Below are 19,480 nucleotides of genomic sequence, written 5' to 3' on the forward strand. Positions count from 1 at the left end.
CTGCCCCGAAATATAGTTGGAATGTCTAATTTTGTGAATGAAAGTGTTTGTTTTTGTTTTTGTTTTTAATCAAGTTACTTGGTGAAAGAAGCCAGGTCTGGTACTTTAAAAATTGTGCTGTTATTGATAATACACACTCTTAGTTTTGAGTGATGATTTCAAGGTACTGATAGGGCAACCGTACAACAAAGAGAACCACTGTTTCTCTTTACCTCTGGCCCTTACGGTTTCTCCCAGTCAGGCTGCTTTTTATGTGTTCAGCATGTTCATACCCAAGAGTCAATTCTCAGTAGCTTTAAACTTGAGGCCAAAGTGGGGAGATAGATACCTTTTTCCAACCTTTCTTTGTTTATAGAAAACCTATTAGACAGTTCTTTCTTATAGATCATAGATATATTGTAACACACTTGGGAGGTCTAAAACCCTTAAGTGGAGTATTATCCAAAATTAAAATAGTAACATTTAAATAAATTAGAAAGATATTCCACATATTTAATCTAGTAAAGTTATGTTAGAGTTCATGGTTTTCTTTCTTTCAGAAGTTGGTGTTAGTTCTTACGTGGCACCTTTTGGTGATTTCCAGGTGCATCGTTAGTTTTCTACAACCATTAGTAATGGCGGAAACCACGATTACTGTTGCACCAACCTAATAGAAAGTAGGACTGTGTATAACATGGCATTATCAAATGCAGACATTTAAAAATTAAAGCCTTGGGTAAAGTATCACAATTCATCCATGATTGGGAATCTCACTGGTATTCAATCAAAATAGTATATACCTCACATTTCCAATCTTTTTTTTTTTTTGAGACAGAGTCTCACTCTGTCTCCCAGGCTGGAGTGCAGTGGCGCGATCTCCGCTCACTGCAAGCTCCACCTCCCGGGTTCACGCCATTCTCCTGCCTCAGCCTCCCAAGTAGCTGGGACTACAGGCCCCCACCACCACGCCCGGCTAATTTTTTTGTATTTTTAGTAGAGACGGGGTTTCACCGTGTTAGCCAGGATGGTCTCTCTCTCCTGACCTCATGATCCGCCCGGCTCGGCCTTCCAAAGTGCTGGGATTACAGGCGTGAGCCACCGCGCCCGGCCAGTCTTTTGTTCTTGACATTAAACTAACAGTATCGCCTGGGCGCAGTGGCTCACGCCTGTAATCCTAGCACTTTGGGAGGCCAAGGCGGGGGGATCACGAGGTCAGGAGATTGAGACCATCCTGGCTAACACGGTGAAACCCCGTCTCTACTAAAAATACTAAAAAAATAGCCAGGCGTGGTGGCGGGCGCCTATAATCCCAGCTACTCGGGAGGCTGAGGCAGAAGAATCGCTTGAACCCGGGAGGCACAGGTTGCAGTGAGCCGAAATTTCGCCACTGCACTCCAGTCTGGTTGACAGGGTGAGACTCCATTATCAAAAAAATAGAGAAAAAAAAAAAAATAAAGCAAAACAAAACGAAAAACAAAAAAAAACACAGCATCTATACTGAGTGAACGTATATGCATATTGTATGCACTGTTGGTTTTATTTTTATTTAACCAGACTGAGAAAGAGGTAGGTTCGTAGAAACTTCAGAAAGAAACACAAATTAGGACACACTTGGAAACTACTATTACTGTGGTATTAGAATCTTTGGCATGGGAGATTGATGGCTTTAGCAAACTGTATGAAATTCAAGTATTTACTTAATTATATGGTTCACTTTATAAAATATTTAAATTCTCTTCTGACCATTTATTCAAGTGCTTCAATATGAACTTCTGAAATATTTGCATTTTATAGGTATATTTTATGTGTTTAATTTTTTCAAAAGCACTGTTTTGACTTCTCGAGGGATTCTCACATTAAGTTTATCAGGTCCAGAGATACCAGACAATTTGAACCACATGGTTAATACTAGATCATGTCATAAAGTGATATACCAATGAGAAGTTAAAAATATGATTAGAAAAGCTATTTGTTTTGCCAGTTTGATCAAAGCAAAAAAATTAGAATTGAATAATTAATTCATAAGTTTAGGATACATATAATTCAATTTCTCTAGTTAAATAGAAACAGAGTAGAACATCAAAAGTAGGCCTGTCATTTAAGGTTGACTCTCTTGCCTTGTCTATGAGTTAGGGAAATCAACCTTAATGTGGTAAAATTTTCAAATTATAAATAAGGATACTAATATTTAACCAGTATAGTAAGTTATTCTGACAGTGAGGTAGTAACATCCCAGTTTTGCTACAAAATATATCTAAAAGAATATATACAATAGCATCTATAGTTATTGTGATTTGTTTTTAAAAATTGCAGAGAATGCGACAGGGTACTCCTGAAAAAAAAAAAAGAAAAGAAAAATGAACAACATTTTGTTTTTATTTAGCTGTAACTGAAGAAATGTTGTCCCAAACTTTTTCTGTTTTGGGTCTGGTTGCCGTTGAGATCGAGTTTTCCCTTTGTAAGAGGGCTCATTGCTTGCAATTTCTTAACCCAAAAAGAAGAGGAAAATCTATACTTTAATAATGTATTTGCCTGTGAATAATACTTTAGAAAAGTAGGATTTTTTTACATTATAGATATTAGCTCACAATTACGATTACTTCTTTAGAATGAATTCCTAGATTTGCAATTAAATCAAAGAATCCACAAAATTTTAAGGAATTTTTATGCCTATTGTCAATTTATCCTTCAGAAAGATTAATCAAAATACCCCCTCATCAGTGGTATTTGAGATGCCTCTTTTTCAGTACCTTACCCAATTTAATATTGTAACTTTTTTTTCTTTTTTTGAGACAGAGTCTCGTTCTGTCGCCCAGGCTGGAATGCAATGGCATGATCTCGTCTCACTACAACCTCTGCCTCCCCAGGTTCAAGCAATTCTACTGCCTCAGCTTCCCGAGTAGCTGGGATTATAGGCACCCACCACTGCGCCTGGCTAATTTTTGTATTTTTAGTAGAGATGGGGTTTTGCCATGTTGGCCAGGCTGGTTTCAAACTCCTGACCTCAGGTGACCTGTCCGCCCCACCCTCCCAAAGTGCTAGGATTACAGGCGTGAGCCACTGCACCTGGCCTGGTATTGTAACTTTATGTATTTGATAGTTGATGGTTAAAAATGACATTGCATTTATTTTTGAATATGAATCTCTATCATTTTATTTCCCATTGTTTTAAAATAGTATTGTAATCTTATTTGATAGTGCTAGCTTGCTTTTAGCTGGCTTTCAGGTTGTTCACTATACAAGTGTGCTTGGCTAAGAAGGCAGAGCCCACAAGTGCTTTTTTTTTCTAATTCTACCAAAGAGACCATATAGGATACTGGGGAACTGATACCAGATTTGTAATTTTACAATGATTATTCAATCTTCAAATTTTATAGATCAAAGTCCAGAAATATTTTCCTATTTTAGACATATGGAGTATTTGCATATATGTTTTGAATTTTTGTAATTAATCTTCTAAATGCAGTATTCATAACTCATTTTTTATATTTAGGTATTTTTATTAAACTGAAATGAAGACAATTCATGCCATTTCCCCCTTTGATATCCAGGTTATTCAGCAAAGAAATGAAGAATGTGATCATACTCAATTTTTAATTGAAGAAAAAGAGTCAAAAGAAGAGGATTTTTATGAAGATCTTGACAGATTTGAAGAAAATGGTACCCAGGAATCACGCATCAGCCCATATACATTCTGCAAAGCTTTTCCTTTTCATATAATATTTGACCGGGACCTAGTGGTCACTCAGTGTGGCAATGCTATATACAGAGTTCTCCCCCAGGTAAAATGACAGCATACTTCCTTGGGGCCTGAGACAAAAGCCCATAGAAATACTATTGTTACAGGCAGCCATCCATTCATTTAACCCTCTGACTATGTATTAGGTAATATGCAGTTTATTGTAAGTTACACAAATTGTTTAATTGTGAACTAAGTGTATTTGAGCATACCACAACTTTCCCTAGGACAACTATTTTTTTATAATAATCACATACAGAAACAGTAGGAATGTTATGTAAGAATAGTATACTTGTTACAGTGAAAAAAAATGGGTAACTTTTTAGTAACAGTCACCTTTCACATGTTTATTTATTCACTGAATAAATATTCATTGGATATCTACCATCTGTAAATAGCTTTAAAAATCAACTATTGATGGTGTTAAGGGAAAAGGGGGGATTTTAAAAAGAACTAAAACACAAAATGATAGAGATGATGATGGATTCAGTAGAAAAAGCATCAAAGGAAGCAGTTGGGATGATGATGAGAAACTGCTGTTGACTTCTATGACAGATCCATTGGTAAAATCCTTTATGCTTACTCTTTTTTTCTTAAATACTAACTTTTGGAGTTGTATATGGCATACGTTTAGAGATACTTTTTGCTTGTAATTAAAGAGACTTGAAAATTCAGGATTAGCCCAGTTGGATCAGGTGAAATGGAAGCAGAGTAGTGTGCTGTCCTGGCTCTGGTATTGACTCTACCTGTCCCTTACTGTATGACCTTGAACTTATTACTTCACTTCTCTCAGCCTGTTTCTCTTTGTTCTGGCATGAGAATAGAAAGCATATGAAAAATACTTAGTTCATTGTAAGCAATCAATCAGTGTTACCTATTGTTTTCACTTTTAGCCCTCTAGATAAATATTAAGAGAGGGTTTGCTCATGTTTTTGGTATTTTAATTTCATTTCAAGCCATACACATTTAACATAACACTGTACATTTTAAAAGATAAATTTTCATTTTTTCTCCTTCTGAAAATGCATTGTAAATTTATGCTAGCTTACATTTGAATATTAGTCATCTGAATCCATATCAGATTTCATGTTCTTGTAACTATTTAATGTCCATTTAATCACTGAGTTGTATAGATTGAGATTTGAGTTGATAGTTCAGCTAAGTTTCCCTTGAATTATAATAATTATAATTTTCTAGTTTTAAATATAACTGAGCTGATTTAATCAAGCGATTAATATCAAAGTATAAAAACTATTTTAACTGATGTGATACTCTTTGCTCTCTATCTATATTTTAGCTCCAGCCTGGGAATTGCAGCCTTCTGTCTGTCTTCTCGCTGGTTCGTCCTCATATTGATATTAGTTTCCATGGGATCCTTTCTCACATCAATACTGTTTTTGTATTGAGAAGCAAGGTAATCAAGATATTATTTCATTAAATGTGAGAAAGGTATGTCACAAATTAGAAGTATTCAGGGGGGAAAATTATCACATTCTCTGAGAAAGTATAGAGAGATAAAACCCAGACCTCAAAGGAAGATCTATTTAAAAGGCAATAACATTGATTTTTGGTTTGCCTGAGGAGCAGTGGAACTCTATCAACTGATTAAAATTAACAGAGGTAAATTTTAGAGACTGTCTTTCTGAGACGGCCTTGTTTCACATCAAAAAACCAACATCTTTTACTCCCTGTACAGCTACAGTGCCTTATTTTAGAAATCAGAACTAAAAAGGATTTTTTTTTTTGGAACTTCACTCAAAACCACTTATTTATTCTTTCTTAAATTGTCTATTGTTCTTAGTAGCGTTTTTGTGGGTGAATAAAAGTGATGAAATATTCACACAGTTGATAATTTAGATAGTGCTGGGATCTCACGGTTTCTGTTCTTGGGATAGATACAGCAAAAGTCATTTTCCTAGAGTACCCATTGAATCCTTTCTGTATTTGGAACTGACTGTTTGCAGCTGCTCTATGAATACAGGGTGGGAGAATGGGGAGGCTTGGCTTATTCTTTGAGAGTCTGGTAATGTATGTTGGAACCATACCGGAAAATCAGGGGGATAAAAAAGATTCACAAAAGCTTGAAATAATTATGTGAAGAGTAGCACAGTTACTGTCCTGAATTCAGACGGGACAGTCACTTTTCTGCAGTGTTGCAAGGCAGCCACTAGGCTTATTACAGGCAGAACTCTGACAGAAGGCCCTCTCCTGTTCTAATGATGCACTTATTCTGCTTTGTGGTTTGGTGGGAAATGAGATATGCGTGTCCTTGTTGCTGAATTCTTAGGTAGGGAGAAAGGCATTCATTAATGGTTGTATCTTGCCTTTTCAAGGAAGGATTGTTGGATGTGGAGAAATTAGAATGTGAGGATGAACTGACTGGGACTGAGATCAGCTGCTTACGTCTCAAGGGTCAAATGATCTACTTACCTGAAGCAGATAGCATACTTTTTCTATGTTCACCAAGGTAATCATTTTTAGATTAATTATAGTGGCTATCAGTACCTATCTTTAGCTAACAAAGGAATGCCACAATATTTTATTCCATTAAATTTACATATTCTCTGAGGTGTAATTAGATTTTACAGCCCTTGTTGTGTATTACTTTATAACAAGGATAATCTTATTTAATATTTGCTAATAAACTCAGAAGAAATCACATACTCTATGTTATTTGCCATGTCTTAATACATTTGTGGAGTGTTTATGCCATTACGCCATGGGACAAATAATCTGCATTAAGCTAATTCTATAGTTTTGGACCTTCAAAATAGGCATTATGTAGAAAAGTGATTTTTTAAAGCAGCTAATAGGATGGCATAATAAATACATTGGTATATTTGACATCAAAAATTATCTTTTCTATAGTATGTTAGCAAAAAATCTAAAAGGTCTCTTTCTGGGTTTGAACTATTTTAAATTAAAAATATTTACCTACTCTAATCCAAATACACTGTTCCAAATATATTATTCAATTAAAATGTATGTAAAATGTGATTTTTAATAAACGTCAGAGAAAAATAAAACTATAGATTGTTGTTTTCCAATTTAGGAAAGCATTTTACTAGGAGATACATGGGAATTCAGAAATATAAAAATTATGTCTAAATTTGCTTCAGAACAATAGAAAAGATAACTGTGGGGATTATTGTGAGATGATATTCTGTGTATTCATAATTTTGTATAAACAAAGTGTAGGTGCATTATGTAGTAACACAGTCAAGAAGGCATGTTTTGGTGAGCTATTGGTTAAAAATTTAATCTGAATTCCACCATGATCACTTTTCACTTAAAAATGTGGTCTTAAAATTTCTGAAAAATGTAATACACTTTGTAACAACCTCCTGTTATATTATTACTATTGTATTATACATTACATAACAATAATATATAAGGCCAAATAAGAATAATATATTGTTGGCACAGTAGTTCACACCTGTAATCCCAGCACTTTCGGAGGCCGAGGTGGGTGGATCACAAGGTCAGGAGTTCAAGATCAGCCTGGCAAACATGGTGAAATCCCATCTCTACTAAAAATACAAAAATTAGCCAGGAGTGGTGGTGGGCACCTGTAATTGCAGCTACTAGGGAGGCTGAGGCAGGAGAGTCGCTTGAACCTGGGAGGCAGAGGTTGCAGTGAGCCGAGATCATGCCACTGCACTCCTGGGCAACAGAGCAAGACACTGTCTCAAAATAATAATAATAATAATAATAATAATATATCGTTAATTTTTAAGTACATTTAAGATTAATTAAATATTATTTAACTATGACATATAAGAATAATATATCAGATAATATAAGGATATGGATGTCTTTTCCCTGAGAAATAAATATCAGGAAAATAAAAGAAACAAAACTAAGAAACATAAACGCTTTTTAAAAAAATTATTAAGCTACATTGATCTAAAGATGTCCCATCTGCTATCAGTAAGTGTTTTCTTCTTCTGCCTCTTCACAGGTTGAGCTTAGGAGAATGTCAGCTTCTCATTAGGGGCAATTTCTATTTATGGAAAGAAAGGTTTTCTTCAGAAATAAAAGCAGAAAATTTGGAGTTTATTTGTTAATTCCCATATGCAGACATTGGTCACCCAGTGAGAAAATTGCAGATTGTCCTATGAGACATGCTCAGGTGTGTAGGAAGATTTGTACTCACACTACATAAACAAAGATCAAGTAAAAGTAGTTTTACTTGTAAAATAATTCTAAGATGATTAGTTTGAATTTAGAAAAAACTTAATGGTTCATTAAAATAATGATATAGGGCATTTTTAGAACCACGAGACCGTTATGATTTAAGTTTTGTAACTCAGTATGAGCATTTTTGACCATTCATTTTTGAACGTACAATCATGTTTTTTCTCTGCTCATGGGCAGGTCTCGTATACCTTTGGCCGATGATCTGGCTTCTTTCTAGATGTGTCTTTTTCTGCAAGTGGATTTACATATCCATTTTAACGAAATTAAAAGACACCGTGTATTTCATTAGTAAAATCTTTGATTGTTTTATTTTCTTTATAGGTATGCTAATTTTTGTTTTGCTTTATGAACATTGCTGCTGAGAATATATTGCATTAATCCAAAATTCTGCAAAGTCACCCCTTTTAAAGAATTTTGGATAGGATTAATTCAAAATTCTTCAAATTATTAATCCCAGATTCTCCAAAGACATAACTAAATTTTTTCCTTTTAGAGTAATTATTATTCAGAGTGGCCAGAAGTAATGACTTTGCATTAAAAAAATTCAAGCCAAAGATATAACCTTATGCCATTTTAACCAGTTAGGTTTTGTTGTCGTTGTTGTTGTTGTTTGAGATGGAGTCTCGCTCTGTCACCCAGACTGGAATGCAGTGGCATGATCTCAGCTCACTGCAGCCTCCTGCTCCCGGGTTCAAGCAATTCTCCTGCCTCAGCCTCCCGAGTAGCTGGGACTACAGGCGCTAGCCACCACACCCAGCTCATTTTTGTATTTTTGGTAGAGACGCGTTTCACCATGTTAGCCAGGCTGATCTTGAACTCCTGGCCTCAAGTGGTCTGCCCACCTCGCCTCCCAAAGTCCTAGGATTACAGATGTGAGCCACTGTGCCCAGCCTCAAAGAGTACATTTTTAAAAAGCAGTTAACTTTTTACTTGTCAGATTATCACTAAAATAATAAACATTATTATGTTGTTGGAAAAATGACACAAGTTACAATGATGACGCATAAAATTCAGCAGGATTGAATAATGTTTCAAATAAATGAGAAAAATTTGTCAAAGTAAAAAGAAGACATGAGAGCCAGAAGTAAGAATGACACATAGTTTTAGATACATAAATTACATGCTGAGGCTGGGTCATAAACGTGGTTGGGAATTTTTACTCATTGTTTCCAAAAGGGAAAAATAAGCAGTTACAAGATTCATAGAATACAGAAAGCAAAATGAAAGTTTCTCAAAAGAAGCATTATTATTCTTGAGAGAGAGAATAAAGATAGATTTTTTTCCTCTCCTTATGATGAGAAAAAATTTGAGAATAATAAATTACAGCCTGTGTTAAATACCTCAACGTTTATCATAGAGATGTTTTCTACATGATCGTTTCAATTTAGACTGATGGCACCAAAAAGTGCAACCTGGCAAAAATGCATCTCAAGTTCACTGCTTTTTGGTAGATGCTTAAATATCTAAGAGAATAAACTCACAATCTTCGTTCAATTCTCCATAATTCTATTGTCTTCAGCCTGATGTTTTGAATGGTAGGAGGTGGCAGGATCAGATTCCTTGACAGAAATCGGGATTGCATTGTCATGTATATAAGTTGAGACTGATCTTGCCTCATTTCTCCATATGACAGTGTCATGAACCTGGACGATTTGACAAGGAGAGGGCTGTATCTAAGTGACATCCCTCTGCATGATGCCACGCGCGATCTTGTTCTTTTGGGAGAACAATTTAGAGAGGAATACAAACTCACCCAAGAACTGGAAATCCTCACTGACAGGCTACAGCTCACGTTAAGAGCCCTGGAAGATGAAAAGAAAAAGACAGACACGTAAGAATGTAACGCTTGGAGCACTACTGTTATTCATAACATAATGTGACTCTACTATATTTAAGTTTGAGAACCAGACTAAAAAGCCATGTGACCTGTAATAGCTCTGGTGTAGTAAATAAAATCTTTCACATTGCTTTTAAAAAGAAATTATGCTTAAGGAAATAAACCAGTCTTAATGGTGGTGGAAATATGTCTGCTATTTTTAGAAGCCAAGTTGGAATAATATAGGCCAAAATATCTTTTGGAAAATCATGAGAATAACTCAAATTCAAATTTAGTTCAAAAATTGAAGTTTAACTATCATTTATTCCTGCATTCTTTCATACAAGAGTTATATATTGACCATCTTCAGTATGCTGGGGGCTGCCGCGTGCAGAGAGCTGCTCTGCACAATGAACTTAACCACTGGCCATTACATGTTTAAAAATTTATTTTCTGGGACCTTGAATTTAGGATTAGAAAGAAATGAATCTGACAAATTGTAATATTATATGTAATGACAACAATTACATCTATAGTGACATACATTAGCAAAAATATCAAAATATAAAACATTTCTATGAGTGGTGGATTCAATTATGAAATATTGAGCAAGGACATGAAAGATAATACTTGATTTTCAAGAAATGTATTTAAGTAAGTACATAGCATGCATACTACTTGGCCTTGCTTTCATATGCTAATTAAACGCACATCACTGACATTTATAAGCTATTTTACCCAGGTTCTTATGTGTTCGTTTTTTAATGTTTATATAAACATTTGGCGGAGCTTCTAAGACCTTAGGACTAACGTTCAAAGTCACATGGGTTTGTAGGTTTGAGTTACTCAATATTCTGTTCTGGCTGTTTGTATTAGAAAATCATCTAGGTTTCATTTTTTTTGTATTGTGACTCAATTTGCTAATATCTACATTCATGATAAATAGATAAATAACCAGCACTATAAATAACATAGCCTTTAAATTATGACATATGCAGATATTCTGTACTGAAAAAGCTCTTAATTCACTTCTTTTCCTAAATTGTCAGCTTAAGCAGAGTATTAGCTTCTCTTCCTAGACCAGGAGTCCAAAACTGGGAGTTGCTGGGAGTTAAACAGCGGCCTTGTCTTTAATACGAGTAGCTGATAAGTACTTATTACAGAACTACTTCTTTGTTTGGATTCCCCAAGGTGGGTTTCACATTCAGGAACTATTTGCACCATTTCGAGTTACTGTGCTTCAAAAATCCTTATATTATTTTTTAGATTATTAGATTTAGAATTTGGTTTTTGTAGATATTTGGGTTTCAAGGTGATGTCATTAGAAACCATTTACTATTAATTTTCTTTAAAGCTAAGTAGTTTTACTGTTCATACTTACTATTCAAATATAGCTTTAATATTTCATAAAACATTCAATGTTTAAAAGTTGAAAATGAAAGACCGGAGAAATTCTACTATGACTAGGAAAAACATTGAGAGCTCAGCTCCATTTTGCATATTTAAACTTCCCACATATGCCCTTTTGCTTTAGAGCAAAAGGCAGGAAGAAAAAGGCAGGAAGGCTTCATTTGTTCCTCTTCAGTCTTCCAATCCAGAGCCCATAGGTCTAGTTTCTGCTTCTTTCCCTCTAAATTCACCAGCTGTCATCCTCCTCCTGTGTGCTCACATTTGTCCCTTAGCATGATCCCATAGTAGTCTCAGTTGTACCTAAAGAAATACAATAATTTATTTTCTAGACCAACTTCCTCTGGTTTTATCAGTTTCTTCTATGGAGGAGTGAGGCATGAATGAGACTGGAGAGAAATTCTGCTTCTTTTAATATTACTTACCAAAAATAGAGACATATTTCTTATTCTAAGAGGCAAACCTGTTTCCATTATTGTGCTATTCATACCATGTTTTAGGTGCTGGTAATGACAGTCTTCATACTGTGACTATCGTAATAGCAGGGTCAGAATACAGGACTACAAATGAAAACTTTGATTTTCTATTACCAGTCTTTTTGTTTTGTCTGTTTGCTTGGCTTATTTTGATTTGGTTTGAACTAGTTTGGGCTTGCGGATGTCTTATGTGATTAGGATGAACAAATAATTTATGTTTTCTGTAAATCCTTGCTTATAAATACAGCTAATATTTGATGCTAATTTTAGAGGATGTCCTGCTAGAATCCAGGCCTTTAAAGTACAAACGACACTGATGCTGTGTGAAAAGGACAGCAGAAGCACTAAAGGCTTTCCCAGTATTTCTTACAGTGGCTTTCTGCTGATCCCACTGAACAGATTGCTGTATTCTGTCCTTCCTCCGTCTGTTGCCAATGAGCTGCGGCACAAGCGTCCAGTGCCTGCCAAAAGATATGACAATGTGACCATCCTCTTTAGTGGCATTGTGGGCTTCAATGCTTTCTGTAGCAAGCATGCATCTGGAGAAGGAGCCATGAAGATCGTCAACCTCCTCAACGACCTCTACACCAGATTTGACACACTGACTGATTCCCGGAAAAACCCATTTGTTTATAAGGCAAGTGTTCTTTATCGCTGACTGCAGAGCTATCCAGAGGCTGGCGTTCTGAGACTCCCCTCCAGAGGCCATGTCATCACAGCTCTCTGACTCCAGCACTGCAGCCTTGAGTACAGTGAGCCTCCATGTATTCACTCTTTACCATGTTCTTAAATAATTGCCTCTTGTTATAAAACTGTCTCTTCCTTGTAACCACAATGAATGTTTCATGAAGTGGGTGATTCCCTGGTTAAAATGAAATGTTCACCATCTTATTTGCACTTAGGCTAACAAATCTGGACAGGCTGTTTATCACATGTAGTATAAACATAGCATTCATTTTAGTCCTCTGCAAGAGACATTTTTACTGAGATATATAAATGCTTTGTACAGTAAAGAAGTCATGAAGCATGAGAAGGACTCAGATTTGCGTTTAGATAACATCAACTTGAAGAAGATAAACATTTATAAGGCGTTTTTGCCCTTTGTTTCATTTAGAAATAAATATAATATTGGAAAAAAGAAGTCAGTGGAATATTGCTACATAAAGGCAAGAATGTTAAGTAAACCATCTCTAGATATCTGGGGTAATATAACTACACAAGGACTATTTATTTTATAGTCATTTTCTGAGGTACACTCTAGCATGTGGTGAGCACATCATACAAACAAATGATTAATGACCGTGATAAATCACTGAACTTGAAATGGTGGCTCTCCATGCCGTCAAGCCATCACTGTTTTAGGTAGAAATGTAAAAAATTATTCTTCTGAATTATAAAGTTATCTGAGGTGAGAAATTAATTGCTTACTAAAGGAAAAATAATTCTATGTCTGTACCTGCCCGTCATCAAAGACCCCAAGTGTCCATCATGTGTGTAAATTATAAGTAATTGCAAGGTTTCATTTTGTTGGAGTTGAATATATTAGAATTTTAAGAGAATTAAAGGGGGAGGGAAGCTTAAAGTTGCTGGTAGACTTGAAAAAATATGTTTTTTGTTAGGGTAATAAATGAAACAGTCTTTTTTATGCTAACCGTGAACATCTAAATATATGTACTGTTAGGTGGAGACTGTTGGTGACAAGTATATGACAGTGAGTGGTTTACCAGAGCCATGCATTCACCATGCACGATCCATCTGCCACCTGGCCTTGGACATGATGGAAATTGCTGGCCAGGTTCAAGTAGATGGTGAATCTGTTCAGGTTAGTAAATGAAGTAGATATTGTAATAATGGTATGTAAACCTTTTTGGACAATTGATTCATATCGTTGTCCGGAAAATCATTAACGTGTATAAAGAAGGGCATCTTGACAACAAAGACTATAGCATTTCATCCAGCCCACTGTACTACATTCTTTCATAGACATGGAGATTTATCTACCTGTTTGAAATTATCTAGTCCGTTTCATGTACTGAAAGTCATGGGGATGAGAAAAAAACCTCTTGTACCTTCTAGTTTATTTTTTAAAACCTCTTTCATGTCTCATGTAAGTTACTAGATTCACATCTTTGAAATCTTCAGACTTCAAATGTTTCTCTTGAGATAGGATATTTCCCTGGGGAGATAGAGATTTCATGGAGGGCTTTTGAAGTTGTCCATAATATGCTTGAAATTCTTATAGACATCTCTTACGATGTTATATGATGACTCTACATTATTCTGTAATATAAAGTAAGCAAAAATTCATGTGTTACAGGAACAGAAAACCAAACACCACATGTTCTCACTCATAAGTTGGAGCTGAACAATGAGAACACATGGACACAAGGAGGGGAACATCACACACCGGGACCTGTTGGGAGTTTGGGGGCAAGGGGAGGGAGAGCATTAGGACAAATACCTAATACGTGCGGGGCTTAAAACCTAGATAATGGGTTGATAGGTGCAGCAAACCACCATGGCACATATATACCTATGTAACAAACCTGCACCTTCTGCACCTGTATGCCAGAACTTAAAGTAAAATAAAAAAAAAAAAATTCATGTGTTAGTGATCAAAATGATTGAAGCAAAGCTTTCTTTTTTGCAGATAACAATAGGGATACACACTGGAGAGGTAGTTACAGGTGTCATAGGACAGCGGATGCCTCGATACTGTCTTTTTGGGAATACTGTCAACCTCACAAGCCGAACAGAAACCACAGGAGAAAAGGGAAAAATAAATGTGTCTGAATATACATACAGGTGAGAGAAAATGTCTTGGTATTTACTGATTTGCAAAGAAAATGTGTCTTTGCATGTGGTTTAATTCTCTGAGAGATTTTGTTGCTTTAACAGAGTTATCACCTTCACTCTTCCCCACTGCTTGTAGAGTTGTTTACTTTTTATTTGAGAAGATTGTGTCATTATTTCCATTTTATATGATTTCACATCATCTTAGGAAATCCTGATATGATCATTGTTTCTAAAGCTTTGAGTTACCTTTCAGTACAACTTCAGCATTTGTTCTTGCCATCTTGGTTTATAACATGATACATGTCACCTTCTCTATAAAACTTGTGTATACTTCTCTCTCTACTCCCCTTCCCTTGTCTTTTAGATGTCTTATGTCTCCAGAAAATTCAGATCCACAATTCCACTTGGAGCACAGAGGCCCAGTGTCCATGAAGGGCAAAAAAGAACCAATGCAAGTTTGGTTTCTATCCAGAAAAAATACAGGAACAGAGGTATGACTAATCAAAGTGTAATTTGCGTACTTAAGACAGAGTATAAGTATGGAAAACTAAAGCAAAATCACTGAAAATGTATTTCATTTGAAAAGAATTCTTGCTAACAGAAATTAACTTCTAAGTAAAGCAGTGGAAATAATTGAACATTAATGAGCCAATTACAATCATAAGTACTTTTTAGGGGATACTTTAGTGATTTTTGTCCTCTAATGAAATGAAAACCAACAGACTGGATTGAGAAGGCTGCTTTTTTTCTTGCTGTTGTGGTTGTTTTGCTCTTCCTCTGTAGTCTGGCTCAAAGGTAAGTGGGCTGTGAGGGGCTCCCCTGACCCCTTTCCTCAGCTCTCTAAGTTGGCTCTGAGATCACCACAGATAAGGGCTGTGGTTCATGGGAGGTTTCTTAACCATGAAGCTTAAGATCCTTTTAAGGGGCAGGCTATCTTTCTATGGAGTGATTGGGGAATTTTGGAAATCCTAGTCCCTCATGTGTTTCTCCTAGATAGATGAGTGATTTTTAACTTGCTAGAATCTGATTAATTCCTTAGGGAAGATTTAAGTTCTTTCTACTACTATGGTTATACTCCAGGCAGAGCCCATGTGCTAGAATGGACTTCAGAACAGTGGCACATCCAAAGTGGAATCACACCTCTCATAGAGGCCTTGCACACACTAAGATCATGGCTAGCCTCTTCCTAGCCTTTTGTAAGGAGTGGCATCAGAAGCAAGTTTGATACTTTGTTACCCTGTTGATGTGTTGTTTCCTCATGGGGGATAAGACTGCATGCTCATATTTCTCTTTTAGTGTGTATAAACTCTCTAAAGATGCTTTTAGGGCATAACAACTTCTAAAGGGAATAGAATGCCAGGGTTTGAAATATTTATCTTCTTTCACCTGGTTTAACATTAAATCATTTTCCTATGAGGTGGACATGCTTATTGATGTTCTTCTGATAAACTAAGCCGTAATTACCTCAAACATTGGTCATCTTAGTCGTGCGGTCCTGTTTTTCCCAGAATTATGGTGGGAATGATTTACAGAAACTGTAGATGTGAACGTGGATCACACTCTCATAAAGAGAAAAATATATTTAATTGATATTATAAACCTCACTATCACTGTAAATCAATCCCTCTTTTCTTCTGCCTATTTAAGGAAACAAAGCAGGATGATGACTGAATCTTGGATTATGGGGTGAAGAGGAGTACAGACTAGGTTCCAGTTTTCTCCTAACACGTGCCAAGCCCAGGAGCAGTTCTTCCCTATGGATACAGATTTTCTTTTGTCCTTGTCCATTACCCCAAGACTTTCTTCTAGATATATCTCTCACTATCCGTTATTCAACCTTAGCTCTGCTTTCTATTACTTTTTAGGCTTTAGTATATTATCTAAAGTTTGGCTTTTGATGTGGATGATGTGAGCTTCATGTGTCTTAAAATCTACTACAAGCATTACCTAACATGGTGATCTGCAAGTAGTAGGCACCCAATAAATATTTGTTGAATTTAGTTAAATGAAACTGAACAGTGTTTGGCCATGTGTATATTTATATCATGTTTACCAAATCTGTTTAGTGTTCCACATATATGTATATGTATATTTTAATGACTATAATGTAATAAAGTTTATATCATGTTGGTGTATATCATTATAGAAATCATTTTCTAAAGGAGTGAATTCTAAGTTTTAGGGGAAAAAATGCAATTTATTTTCAGACTCCCAAAGTAAGAATTAACATATCATGCTAAGAAAATAGTGACTATTTTGAAGTATGCTACTTCCCTTTCAGAAATATAGAATACACGTTTCTGTTATTAAAGTATTTGATTACTAATTCAAATCATATGGCAATTATAATTCTTCTAAAATGCTATCATTTGTAACTGTATCCCCTGTATTAAATCTCATTAACCACAGGCAGCTGTTACAGAAAGCTGCATTGTTTCACATTGAGCTGTTACATTAGTTCAGGCTAAATGTTGGGAGCTCCAACCACATCCAAGAATAAATCTGGAAACACACTGCTGGGATACTGCTGTTAGAGCCCTTCTTGGCCTTGTATTCCCAGAAATGAGCTCCCTTTCCTTAGCTTAGAAGAATGTGATTATATCCAGGACATCATGTTCAGAAAACTTAGTTTACTTTCAGCATAGAATGCATTACTGTTGGAATAATTGGCCTCTAGCTCTTAAATGTCTCTGATAACTTATTAATATCTATCTTTATAAAATAGAGTGCAACTACTTTTGTGTAAAAATGTTTGCCTTTAAATTTAGTATTTCATATCAGCACATCGATATATGTATAAATGTTCCATGTTAATGTGTAAAAGAGTCTGTAATAAATTATTTTTTTCACGTGTCTCTATACAGTTTTTATTTCAATAAAAATATTAACATTATTTTTCATTTTATTAATGCCATTATTTTGTAAATACATTTTACAATTTTGCCTATTTGCTACCATTATAAATTTTCACTGACTCCTCATAGACAGCATATTCTTAAATGCTATATTTCTTTTTAATACCAACAGAGTGACAGGAAATAAAGACTGGGCATGGAAAGGGGAAACAGTTAAATATTGAATGTCATCAGCTTATTTAAAGAGCTCTGAATCATTTAGGGATGATAGACATGTATACAAGTAATGAAAATATGCGATATTCATAATGAAGAAATATATTCAAATGCAGAAATAATACTTAGAGAAAGAGTAACTTGAAAGAAAAGAGGTGAAGTGGGGATAGTTGTTATGCTTATTTTGGGGGGAGAGTTAGGAATACTCAGAAACTACATTGACACTGTCATCTTCCCAGAATCCTGCATATATTTATTTAGCATCTACTTTGGGTAGGTACTGCTCAAGATATTTGAGAAATGTCATTGAACAAAACATCTCTGCCTTTGAATACCTCATATTCCAATTTTTACATCTTGCATGTTTTTAAATCTCTACTTTATTCCGCCAACACTCTTCGAAGTCCAGGCACTCATCATGTGTAACTTGAACAATTGCAAGATCTTCCCTATAAATCTGTCTATTTCCTACCTTTGCCACCTCCATTCCACACTCTCAAATTGCTGCCAGAGTGGTCTTTTACAAATCCAAATTGCTCTCCTGCGTACAATCACTTAAATGCTACTCATTGTCTGTACACCTTAGCAAAGCATGTAAACATTGTCACCTTAACCAGCCTTATCTGCTAGTTGCTACCTTTGTAATTCTATGCTCTGCTCTGTCTGAATACCCTCTACCCATACTCTGCTGCAAATTCATTTCTTGCTAAGACTCAGCTCAATATCCTCTTGTTGGAAATTTCCCTGTTAGGAAAGTTTAGCTTCCCCTATTGTCCCAGGATCTTTACAATGGTTCACATATTATCTGTTTATATATAGGATTCCTTATTAGGCTTTAAGTTTCTTATGGCTAAATTAGTTCCTCTTACACCAGATATTCCTTGAACCTTCCACAAAATAGGCACTTGACAAATATTTGTTGAACAAAGGAATGGAGGGAGCAGCCTCTTCGAGCAGTGGGGCTAGAAGCCAGATTTAAAGGGAAGGAGGAATAAGAAATGAGATAGATTGGAGAAAAGAGGAGGCACAAAAATGGCACTGTTAAACTTGTGCTTAGAGAAAATCATGCTGACATTGGTGCAGGGGCTAATTTAGAGGGAAAGAGCCTGGTTTAAGGTTGGCATTAGGGGGCTACTGTACTTCATGCATAGGCCTGCTTTAAGGTGATGGCAGGACAGGAGGCTAATTGAAGAGCAGTCAAGATTCACATTAAAAGTGCATAATAACGCACAGGCCAAAGGGGATGAGAAGGTTAGGGCCAAGTAGAAAGCTTCTGGCTTGCTTAGTGGGTAGTTGATGGTTCCATTACACGTGGTGGAGGATGTAGAAAGGTAACTGAGCTTAGAGGAAAGGTGCCTAATATTAGGCATGGCTTTGAAGTTCTGGTGAATACATTTTTAAAAAACAATGATTTTCAGGTAGCATTAATGCGAGGAGAGAATAGAACTTTTTTTTCCAAGTTGGGCCAAACTGCTTTGAATTTCCAAACAACCTGTTACTAGCTCCATGATATTGGTAAAGTCATTTAACCTTTGTGTAACCTGGTTAGGTCATTGTAAAGACAGAGATTATAATAACCACTCACTAGAGTTGTTGGCAGATCAAACTGAAATACGAAGAAGTCAGAGGAGTTGGAACTTTGGCTTGCCATTTCAGAAAGACTAAAAGGTAATCTAAGAAATGAAAACTTACAAATCTTTGGTAACAGATATTGTTATAGTTGAATCATGGACAGCACATGTCATGAAAAAACAGGAGGGTCAACAAGAAAAATCAATAAATACATTTATCTTTGCCAATTATTGAAACAAACCCAGTGGAAACCACCAAAAAATTAGAACCAAATGTTGTGAAACGATAACAGTTTATCAGTTTGAACTGAATTGTTTTAAACTTTAACAATTAAATACCATTTTAAAGGTATGTATTTTTAATTATATAAGTTATATATTTATTATATTATAGATTACATATATTATATGTATCTTAGCACTAA

The 19,480-nt window shown here is 35.6% G+C and overlaps 1 protein-coding gene across 8 annotated transcripts in view; it reads left to right on the forward strand.

Moving 5' to 3' along the window:
- GUCY1B1 (guanylate cyclase 1 soluble subunit beta 1) overlaps positions 1-17,486 on the forward strand; it is a 48,791-nt gene extending 31,305 nt beyond the window's left edge. For 4 of the 8 annotated variants that reach the window (NM_001291952.3, NM_001291951.3, NM_000857.5 and 1 more), the window contains 9 exons: positions 3,531-3,761; positions 5,016-5,132; positions 6,052-6,185; positions 9,552-9,749; positions 12,017-12,254; positions 13,299-13,439; positions 14,268-14,422; positions 14,778-14,904; positions 16,061-17,486. In NM_001291952.3, coding sequence (NP_001278881.1) covers positions 3,531-3,761; positions 5,016-5,132; positions 6,052-6,185; positions 9,552-9,749; positions 12,017-12,254; positions 13,299-13,439; positions 14,268-14,422; positions 14,778-14,904; positions 16,061-16,084 — 1,365 coding nt within the window. In that variant the 3' untranslated portion in view covers positions 16,085-17,486. Of the gene's footprint in view, positions 1-3,530; positions 3,762-5,015; positions 5,133-6,051; positions 6,186-9,551; positions 9,750-11,887; positions 12,255-13,298; positions 13,440-14,267; positions 14,423-14,777; positions 14,905-16,060 lie in introns of all 8 variants that reach the window. The other 4 variants (NM_001291953.3, XM_011531901.2, XM_017008131.3 and 1 more) reach the window with 2 other exon arrangements.
- Positions 17,487-19,480: the final 1,994 nt, after the last annotated feature.

This window comes from Homo sapiens, chromosome 4 (assembly GCF_000001405.40).
Source record: "Homo sapiens chromosome 4, GRCh38.p14 Primary Assembly".
Classification (NCBI taxonomy): Eukaryota; Metazoa; Chordata; class Mammalia; order Primates; family Hominidae; genus Homo; species Homo sapiens.